We start from the raw sequence: 10,693 nt of genomic DNA, 5'->3' as shown, positions 1-10,693 counted from the left end.
CATGATGGTGCACGCCTGTAGTCACAGCTTCTCTGGAGGCTGAGGACGGAGGATTGCTTGAGCCCAGGAGTTCAAGGCTGCACTGAGCTATGATCATGCCACTGCACTCTAGCCTGGACAGAGCAAGACCACCATCTCTAGAAGAAACAAACAAACAAAACCCAACAACTGGAAACATCCTCCTCTAGAACGGGGGTCAGGAACTCCTGTCTGCCTTGTTCCCTGACGTCGCTCCAGCACCTAGAACAGCGCTCAGCACGAGGACGCACTCATTAGTGTTTTGTTGAATAAATGACTCCTTTGACACAGCAATTCCACTTCTAAGAATCTTTCCTAAAGAAATATGCACACACGTGCACAGAGCTGTGTGCACAATAATGGCACGAGCAAACAACTGGGGAACGTTTGCAAAGGTTTATTAACTGTCAGTGACTGCTACAGGGGAATCGGATGAGGGGAGTACATGCTGACCAGGAAACAGAGTGAGGGGAGCTTGACCAGGACGCATGGCAATGGGAAAAGCAGATGGCAGATGCTTATACTGGTACTTGGTGTGTGTGTGTGTGTGTGTGTGTGTGTGTGTGTGTGTGTGTGGTGTGGTTTGTGTGCGTGTGTGTGTAAATGCAGAGGAAAAAATCTGAAATTAAACACTCAGAACTGCCCTCAGTAGTCACATCTGGGGAGAGAGGAGGGTAATGCTGTTCCATGCAGAGGTAACCGACAATACTTGTTTTCTAAGGTAGGTGCATGGATACACAAACCAAAATATGCATTAAGTATGTCTTGCTCATCAATGAAAATGTTAGTATCTAACAGAATGACACAGTGTAAGAAAATACAACGTAAACGCTAACATCGAACTCTTGGCACACTAAGAAAAATGACGCTCAACTTTTCACTGTTGTGAACACTTGCTTTCACTTGCTATGCACCTGATGACGAGGGGTCCGCAGCCATGCCCATGTTCGTGAAAGGTCACCACGTTCTGCTTCTCATCATGGGCATGTGTCGTATCCCTGAGGCTGAGGCAAGAAGAGAGAAGGAAATAAGTGGCAGTGAGTTCCCACCACGTGGCAACGCAATCTCAACTCCTCCTGACCTGCAGACCCTGCACACTCCGATTCTGCCCTATCTCAGGACCTGCACACGCCTTCCACGGTTCCTCGAAGTGAACCATCTGTTCATGCCACAGTGACTTCCTCGCCTGGGTTATCAATTCCTAGGCTAGAGAAAGGTGTGGCCCGCATATCAGGGCTTACTTGGGGTTTGGGACCCCACAGCATCCTGGGTAGGGAGGATCCCCGGATATATACAGGGCAGGGAGTAGAAAGAGCATGGGAAATCTCTCATCGTTCAGCCTCAATGCTGTACAGTAGAAAATTGTAAGAAGGGAATGATTTGGGGAGCAAGTGACAGATGGGATACCAGTATCATAACAGAATAGCACGTCTGCAGGGATGTGGGGGATGAGTGGAAGGTTCTCTTACGGAGTTACTCGTCATCTTCCTCAGGGTCGCTGATCTCTTCATAAATCACCAGCTGTTTTCTCTCACGCAGTCTGTGGGTCCAGGCATGTTCCCCCCTTTTGGGTCCTGTGATGGAGAATAGTTGGAAAGTGAGGGTTGGGAAGGTTGGAGAGTGTTAGGCTCTGTTTACTCAAAAAAAGGAGATGCCTGCTTCCTCCCAAGTGCCCATGGGCCTTCTTCATCCAGTTTTTCACATTCTCTGGCTTAGAGAGGCTGAGACCTTAGATCCACACCAACATAGGCCAAATGCCAATTAAAGTTTTAGCTTCTGGCTCCTTCCCTTCTCAGGCTTAGATTCCCAACCTCTTCACTTACGGGAACATTCCCCCATACCTCCTTTCATCCAGCACGTATTTGTTAAGGCCACACAGGCGTACCTTGTTTTGTTGCACCTCATGTTCATACTGCTTCGCAGATGCTGCAATTTTTTTTTTTAATTCTCACCAATTTTACACTTTTCCATTATTATTATATCTGCTATAGTGATCTGTGATCGGTGAGCTTTGATATTATTACTGCAATTGATTTTATTGTTTTTTAGTGTTTTAAAATAATTTTTGTTCTTTATTTTGTGGGTACGCAGCAGGTGTATATTCTTATGGGGTACATGAGATGCTTTGATACAGGCATGCAATGGGTAATAATCACATCATGGAAAATAGGGTATCCATCCTCAAGCATTTATCCTTGTGTTACAAACAATCCATTTACACTTTTAGTTTTTTTTTTAATGTACAATTAAGTTATTATTGACTATAATCACCCTGTTGTGTGTAATTGTTTTGGGGGTACCATGAACTGCACCCATAGAAGTTGACAAACTGAATCGACCAATGTTGTGTGTGTTCTGACTGCTCCACCGATGAGCTGTTCCGCGTCTCTCTTCCTTTTCTTGGGCCTCCCTATTTCCTGAGACACAGCAATACTGAAATGAGGATTATTAACAACCTTACAATGGCCGCTAAGTGTTCAAATGAAAGGAAGAGTCGCATGTCTCTCACTCTAAATCACAAGCTAGAAATGGCTAAGCTTAGTGAGGAAGCATGCTGAAAGCCAAGACAGGCTGAAAGCTAGGCCTATTGCGCCAAACAGCCAAGCTGTGAATGCAAAGGAAAAGTTCTTGAAGGAAATAATAATACTAATACTCCAGTGAACACACGAATAAGAAAGCAAAACTGCCTTACTGCTCAAATAGAGGAAGTCTGAGTGGTCAGGATAGAAGACGAAACCAGTCACAACATTCCCTTAAGCCAAAGTCTAATTCAGAGCAAGACCAGAACTCTCTTCAAGTCCATGAATGCTGAGAGAGGTGAAGAAGCTGCAGGAGAAACATGTGAAGCTAGCAGAGGTTGGTTCATGAGGTTTAAGGAATGAAGCCGTTTCCATAACATAAAAGTGCAAGGTGAAGCAGCAAACCCTGATGGAGAAGCTGCAGCAAGTTATCCAGAAGATCTAGCTAAGATCACTGTTGAAGGTGGCTACATGAAACAACAGATTTTCAATGTAGATAAAATAGCCTTCTATTGGAAGGAGATGCCTTCTAGGACTTTCATAGCTAGAGAGGATTGATTTCAACTTTGAAAGAAGTTCTACTGTGGGTAAAATGCTATCCAATAGCATCACATACTACAGAGAAATCCTTCATGAAACGGAGAGCTAATCGATGTGGCAAATTTCACTGTTGTGTTCTTTTAAGAAACTGCCACAGCCACTCCACCCTTCAGCAACCACCACCTTGATCAGCCAGCAGCCATCAACACCGAGGCAAGACCCTCCACCAGCAAAAAGAGTGTGACTCACTGAAGGCTCAGAAGATTGTTAGCATTTTTAACAAAGAATTATTTTTAAATTAAGGTATATACATTTTTAGACACAACGCTATCGCACACTTAGTAGACTACACTATAGTATAAACATAATGTTTTTATGCGCTGCCAAACCAAAAAACAACGTGTGTGACTCACTTTATTGCAGTGGTCTGGAACTGAACCTGCAGTATCTCTGAAGTACACCTGTATTGGGTAACAGGCATGGCATTGAGCTGAGTCTTAATCAGGTAATGATCCCAGGTAATCACAGATAGAATTGCTTGAGCACCTTTCATGTCATCAGGCCTTCTAGATTAAATTTAATGTCTCCAAACAATTTATGAACTATGATTCCTTATTTCCATCTTACGGACTAGGAATCTGGAGCTGAGAAAATCTGAAAGACTTGCCCCAAGTCACATGGTTTTTTCTATGGGTGACAAATCAAGTCTATCTCTGGAAGTCATGTCTAACATCTCATCTGGAGCTGGGCGAGCTCCTCAGCCCAGTCTGGACCCAGGGTTATCTGGGATCCATGCCACACACCCAGTCCATATACCTGAACATCGCCAGGGAAGCCAGAGGGATTGTTCCTGAATTGCTTCCTCTTACCAGATCTCTCGTGAATCTTCTCAGAGGTAGTTGGTTTTCCCGGGGGGCACAGCTCTTTCCCATCATTTTGTGGGCCAGATGCTTCTGGCACTTCCTCCGAATCATTTCCTTCCTCTGCTGGCTTCTTGGGCATGATCTTTATAATGTGAAGATCACAGATAAATAGTATCAGTGACATATCTATAGTGCTTTTGAGCTTACAAAGGGTCTTCACATGCATTAGCTTATTCAATGTTCTCAACAACACTGGGAGAGTTACACAGGCCTAAATTAGGAGAAACCTGGGAGGGGAGGTTAGAAGGGAAAGGAATGGCCTAAGTGAATATGGTTTCCAGGGATAGAATGCTTATCTTCCCACTCTTTTAGGACTGACATTCTTGCAAACAGCAAAAATCTCCATGTAATTGAGAGTGTGATATACAGATGATTTGGAGAAGAGTAGCATTCTAAGAATTCACAAGGTCTACAAAGGGAAGAGGTTCTGTAAAATACAAGGGATCCCATATAAGCTTCTAGACAGCTGCTGGGAGAGTAAATGTAAAAACATAGGGAGGCGACAAAACACTGCTGGGAAAGATGGTGTGGGGAGATGAATACAGGGAAGGGAGAGGGAAAGAAATGGTTTGCCGAAATTAATCTAGGCAGCAAACAAAGCAGTACCAGATATGACATACTACCCTACTGGGGCACCGACATTCAATGTGGAATTCAGTGAGGTGGTACCCATACCAATTCTGGTTGCATTGGGATGTGTCACTGACCAACAATCTTAAGCTACTTTTTTTTTTCTTTCTTTCTTTCTTTTTTTTTTTTTTTTTTTTTTTTTTTTTGAGACGGAGTCTCACTGTGTCGCCAGACTGGGGTGCCGTGGCATGATATCGGCTCAAGGCAACATCCGACTCCCGCGTTTAAGCGATTCTCCTTCCTTAGCCTCCAGAGTATCTGGGACTACAGGCAGGCACTACCACGCCCCGCTAAGTTTTGTATTTTTAGTAGAGACACGGTTTCACCATGTTGGGCAGGATGGTCTCGATCTCTTGACCTCGTGATCTGCCCGCCTCAGCCTCCCAAAGTGCTGGGATTACAGTCGTGAGCCACCGCGCCCGGCTCTTAAGCTACTTTTCATTCAGCTTCCTCCCTTATGAAATAGTGAACCATACATGTCAAATAGCCTACAGTAAAGTCCTCTCTGAGCTTGTAAACACTGTTTAAATGTCGTAATAATAACAATTAATACCTTTCACAATCCTTCTTTGAATTCAGTCTCCACACTGGCAACCCAACTCCCAGATCCCTTTACCCTCCAAACCAGAGTTGAATCTGCACTTGTGGGATCACTCATTCAGGGGCCTCCGAGGGATCCCCTGGGCTGGGACTGGGCCTTCCCAGATGCCCCAGGTGCAGACAAGGCACTCAAGGAGCTCACAGTAGGGAGGGGCCAACAATCAAAGTGATTCCTAAGCCATGCAAGTGGCCCCAGCAACACAGCAGAGACCAGATGGTCCTTCCTGTTGAGAGAGTGGGTGTCTCATTGGAAGCACCAGCAGGCCCTATGGGGTGAAGCCCTAGTGAGCAACATCTGAACTTCATAGACAAATGCAAATGTGAATGAGCTTTAAATGGCTTGGAGCTCTGGATTAGACTACCACTGCCACTGCGCCCCAGGAAAATTCTTTAACATCTCTGTACCACGATAGCCTCATTTTATTATTATGTTGCTGATAACTATGATCTAAAACATGAACTATAATTCTTTACTTCCATTTCATGGACCAGGAATCTGGAGCTCAGAGAACTTAGAAGATTTGTGTCAAGTCACATGGCTTTCATATGGATGAAAACTGAAGTGTGTGACTCATTATTATTTGGAGATAATAGAAACAATGTCTTCTTAAGGATTAAATAAATTAATCCATGTGAACTGCTTGAAATAGTATCTGGCATCACTATGAAAACAAAAGAAGTATTAACAATCGCAACTGTTGGTACTATCAAGCCGTCGGTGCGACATCAGGTGTTGTGATAGACATGGGGAGAAGAAGGCAGTGAGGGCATTTTTGATATTCTCCCACTCTTACCAGTGTTCGCATCCGTGGAGGGACAAAGGTTCTCTGGTCCTTTAGATCTGAGAGACACTCACCTTCGGGGAGATTCCCTGGAGCCTGCCGAAAGTCATCTGAGGACGTTCAACTGAAAGAGAATACATCAGAATTTTTCTTTGTTGGTAAAGGTTTCCAAACTCTAGAGAGACTTCTGTCGCATCAGGGTATTCTGCAGCAGAGGGTTATGAGTCCACTCATTGTTGAGGAGTTATTTCAGATTTGCTTCTGAATTATGTTTAGTCATGGTTGGTGCATTTATCTGTGGCATCAATTCAGAATTTTCCATCTCATGGTTTATCACATGGGGACTACACCCCATCACAGTCTCATCTTATTCCATTACATATCTTTTACTTTTTCCCAAATAATTAAATTGATTGGTTAGGAATCTGAACTGTATCCACTCAAGATGTGCAACAACTGAAAATCATTGTACACTTCAAATGGGTGAATCTTATGGTATGTGAATTAAGCTGTTAAATGTGTGATGAACCATGGATGATTTGGTCCAGTGGCTCTGAAATATTTTCAGTATAAAGACACTCCTTTACTGTCAAAACTTGGCAGATACTCAAGCACTGGCTTTTCAGGTCTCTTATAGTGATTGCGGGAGATTGTAGAATCTGGCCTGTTTAGTTGGCGAGTAATAGGTCTATTGGAGACGGTTTGGACATTCTGACCTTGTCTTATAATTATGTTGTCAGAGTAGAAGAGCAAGTAAATACATATGTCCCCTTTATATTCCTGAAATGTACAAAGCTCTCTACCCAAGAACCTATCTTTTTTTCACCCTATGTTATCTCTGCTCTCTGACAAGTGGGAAAGCTCTCTGTGTGTTGGATAAGGGATCACTCCTTCAAACTCTCTTCCAAGCTCATTACGGAGAATCAGGGTTCTTTGGGAATGAGAAGACTATTTGGTTTTGATAAACCAATACAGAGAAACAGCGATCTTTATTACATAATGTGTTCATCACCCTCACTCCTAAGATACCTATCCAATACCTACATGCTGTTAATGAAACAAACTCTGGAAGTTTTTGGCGGATCTACAGTTTTAACACTTTCTTTCTTTCTTTCTTTTTTTTTTTTCACTTGTAGCATTTTTTTAGCAGTCCTTTGATTCATTAACGGTGCTTAGGAAGAACAACATGTCGTTTAAAAAAGAAATATTTCAAACACACAGAAAAGTATGGGGAATAATATTGAGTCCAGTCGGATCTCAACATTACCCCACAGCTATGTTAGGTCTGATTTATTTATTCAGAATATTAGAAAAACTGCAAATAGGCCGGGCGTGGTAGCTCACAGTTGTAATCCCAGCACTTTGGAAGGCTGAGGCGGGTGGATCACCTGAGGTCAGGAAGTTTGAGACCAGCCTGGCCAACATGGTGAAACCCCGTCTCTACCATAAATTAAAAAATGAGCTGGGTGTGGGGGCACGTGCCTGTAACCCCAGCTACTCGGGAGGCTGAGGCAGGAGAATCACTTGAACCCAGGAGGTGAAAGTTGGAGTGAGCTGAGATTGCCTTATTGCACTCTACCCTGGCCGAGAAGAGTGAAACTCCATCTCAAAAACAAAAACAAACAAAACACACTATCAACAAGTCACAGCTGAAGCTGTCTGTGCCGCACTCAGTAATCCCTGCCCGCCCTCCCTCCCTCCTCCACTTACAGCCAGTCACCTTAATTTGATGGCTTTTTATTCACATTCATGTTTGTATACATTTACCATTTACTTATTATCCATAAAATATATATTCTTCTTTTGCATGTTTTAAAATTTTATATGAATGGCCTCTGTAGTTAACTTTCTGCATGCAATTTTTTTTTTTTTTTTCACTCAGCCCTGATGTGTATGAGGGAACAAATGCCTGAGGATCTTTCTCAGGTAGCTGAGCTGAAAAGCAGCTGGGCTTGAGGAGACCCTTTCCAGCCCCTTCCCATCTACTCACCCTGATTCCCACGGTTAGGGTCATTATCCAAATCATTCCCCTGGAAGTCTTCGGCCCGTTTATTACACATGAAAGGTGGGAGGGTGGCCTTGAAACCTAGAAAGAAGCAAAATGTTTATTCCTTAAGAGACAAGCTTGGGCCTGGTATGGTGGCTCATGTCTGTAGTACCAACACTTTGGGAGGCTAAGGCTGGAGAATTGCTTGAGGCCAGGAATTCAAGGCTGCAGTAAGCTATGATTGCACTACTGCCCTCTAGCCTAGGTGACAGACTGAGACTGACTCAAAAAAAAAAAAAAAAAAGGAAGAGACAAGCCGAGAGAAGGTAGGGTGGGTGTGTGTGGGGTGGGGGTAGGGGGGTTGCCGGGATGCCACAGAGACAGTTGGGCTCATCAGAACAGAAGCCTAAGGGAGAGAAACGTGCAGGATCCAGGTATAAGCTCCACTGTGGCCAGTCCCTGCCCTCAGCCCTGACAGGATACAGAAGAGCAGAACACCCAGAAGCTGCCTTGCGATTTTTCCCTGCACAAAAGGAAAATGTGAGGTACTTTCTGCAGCCTAAGAAGTAGCCAAAGCAGGAAAAGGGATGCTCATGTGTCCCCAGACTTGTCTGTTCCCAGAACTTTCTGTTACCTAGTTTAGTCATAGCCTCATACTTTCTCTTCATATACACATAGAAGATTTTCTCCGAGGCTTTCATCTTTTCCCACTCTTCCTTAGAGAAGTATTTGGCAATATCATCGAAGGCCTACAAAAAAAAAAAAAAGGAATTATGGCAGGGACTCAGCTAGGCATGTCTGCCATTCAGCTGGAGCCGCTTCCTGTGTGCTAGATCTGGGAACTGGGGATGATAATCCTTCCTGGTTGATGCCATGGCTAACTGACAGAACACGAGGGACCTTCCCTAGCTTCACCCCTGCCACACAGTAGGGCTTTAATGCTGCTGGCTGGCTCTCTTCCCACCTTCCAGAATGGACTGAGAGTCACCAGATGTAGTGCAAGGTCACAGACTTGTCTCCAGGGATGCTAGGTGATGACAGAGCGAGGGTGGGAGGCTCCCAAGGGTCCAGATCTCCCCCGAGACCCTGCTCCTTGTCTCCAGTATCTCTGTCCTCCCCTCCTCAGAAACCGGGTCACCCCACACTGTCCCCTGGGCCACTACTCTGCTCCCTCCAGGTCACCTCACCTTTTGGATCTTCTCTGGTATTTGAGCACCAACCGTGGGTCTCCTTGCAAAGGCGTCGTCTCCGTTCATGGCACCGGGAGCAGTCTGACCTGCAAGAGAAATAGCCTGAGTCTTTCCAGCCACAGCAGCTTTGATCCTGTGGAGGGAGAAGTCAGTGAAGGCCGGCCACCCTCAGTCACCTGGAATCAGCTGCTGCATTTCTCCATCCGGGGCTTATCTGTCCCTGAGTAAGGATATGGGGAGAAATCAGATGAAAACAGGGAACCAGGGGTCTCTGGGAGAAGTATTGATAGGGAATGACAGGTTTCCTATGGGCAAAGCAGCCTTGAGTCTTTGGGAGGGGGTTGGCTAATGTTGTTAGTAGTTTCCCTGGAGCTAGGCTTACCCTGAAAGATGTACGGACCCTTTTTGGGGAGGCAGGGACATGACTGTGTAATTTTATTCAGTGGGGGCATGCTGACACCCCCACTCAATAAATAAAGGAAGGGAAGTTAGTCCCAGAGATAACATGGTCTCTTTGGCGATGGATCTGATCAGGCAGAGGGATGGGGGGTTCTGTTCTGTTGAAGAGAAATGAGCATCGCTAATATGAACGTGTTCAGAGGCTATTACTCGGTGATTTGTAAATTATTAGAAGGAAGAGAGCTAGAATTTCTGAGACTACAAGAGCCCGCCATCACTTAGAGAGAATGTGGGGCATTTCAAGATGCAGCAATCAGCCAGGCGCCGTGGCTCACGCCTGTAATCCCAGCACTTTGGGAGGCCGAGGCGTGCAGGCCGCTTGAGCCCAGGAGGTCGAGACCCGGCTGGGAAACACAGCAAAACCCCCGTCTACAAAATACACAAAAAGTTAGCTGGGGTTGGTGGAGCAGGCCTGTACCATCCCAGCACTTTGGAAGGCCAAGGTGGGCGGATCGCCTTAGCCCAGGAGCTTGAGACCAGGCTCGCAAACGTAGCAAAACCATCTCTACTAAAAAAAACAAACAAAATTTAGCAGAAGCGGGGTGGTGCGCGCCTGTAGCCCCAAGGCCTAGGCGAGAGGCTCACTTGAGCCCAGGAGGAAAGATTTGAGTGAGCTTTTTTGGTTTTTGTTTTTTCAGACAGGGTCTCGCTCTGTTGCCCAGTCGGGAGTGCACTGGCGTGATCATGGCTCACTGCAACCTCCGCCTCTTAGGTTCAGGCGATCCACCAGCTGTGGCTTCCAAAAGTGCAGGGATTACAAGTGTAAGCCACCACGCCCGGCCCAAATTTCTTAAGTTACTACAGAGTTCCTAGGAAAAATCCCGTACCTGAAAAAGTTAGAAACTGACAGGAAAGATTCGAGATGGCGGCCTGCCTCATATACACTCCTTATTAAAACTAGATAGCAAATGCACCGCGGAGGAGGGGAGGGGTAGGAAGAATGGAAAAAGAAAATCGGCGTATGCTTACTCTGATTTTGGAAGAATCCAAAGAGAAAATCAGACCGTGCGTACTCTGAGTATGGAAGAATCGAAAGAGAGAGAAA

The 10,693-nt window shown here is 45.2% G+C and overlaps 1 protein-coding gene across 3 annotated transcripts; it reads right to left on the bottom strand.

Moving 5' to 3' along the window:
- Window positions 1–399: 399 nt before the first annotated feature.
- Window positions 400–10,684, bottom strand: SSX2B (SSX family member 2B). Of its 3 annotated transcripts, none has more exons than NM_001278701.2 (9): window positions 10,618–10,684; window positions 9,187–9,275; window positions 8,634–8,748; window positions 8,003–8,098; window positions 6,087–6,136; window positions 3,947–4,082; window positions 2,290–2,435; window positions 1,488–1,592; window positions 400–1,022 (listed from the first exon to the last, which is right to left on the bottom strand). In NM_001278701.2, exons 2-8 carry the CDS (start codon window positions 9,253–9,255, stop codon window positions 1,533–1,535), a joined length of 672 nt encoding a protein of 223 aa, NP_001265630.1. In that variant the 5' UTR covers window positions 9,256–9,275; window positions 10,618–10,684; the 3' UTR covers window positions 400–1,022; window positions 1,488–1,532. The 3 variants fall into 3 exon arrangements, with proteins under 3 accessions (NP_001265630.1, NP_001265631.1, NP_001157889.1); NM_001278702.2 differs by having other exon boundaries at window positions 2,358–2,435; NM_001164417.3 differs by lacking the exon at window positions 2,290–2,435.
- Between the last annotated feature and the right edge of the window lie 9 nt (window positions 10,685–10,693).

The sequence above is a fragment of the Homo sapiens genome, chromosome X (assembly GCF_000001405.40).
Source record: "Homo sapiens chromosome X, GRCh38.p14 Primary Assembly".
Taxonomy (NCBI): Eukaryota; Metazoa; Chordata; class Mammalia; order Primates; family Hominidae; genus Homo; species Homo sapiens.
The sequence above is the reverse complement of the archived record's forward strand: the minus strand, read 5'-3'. Positions and strand labels throughout refer to the sequence as shown.

What these genes read in the sequence shown, in the direction of transcription:
- SSX2B (NM_001278701.2), bottom strand. Translation starts at nt 9,255, where the DNA reads ATGAACGGAGACGACGCCTTTGCAAGGAGACCCACGGTTGGTGCTCAA. An exon ending in TGAGGCTATGACTAAACTAG is followed by an intron (nt 8,099 to 8,633) that starts GTAACAGAAAGT and finishes GCTTCTTTCTAG; the next exon opens with GTTTCAAGGCCACCCTCCCA. An exon ending in AAACAATTACACACAACAGG is followed by an intron (nt 1,593 to 2,289) that starts GTGATTATAGTC and finishes TCTCCATCACAG; the next exon opens with GACCCAAAAGGGGGGAACAT.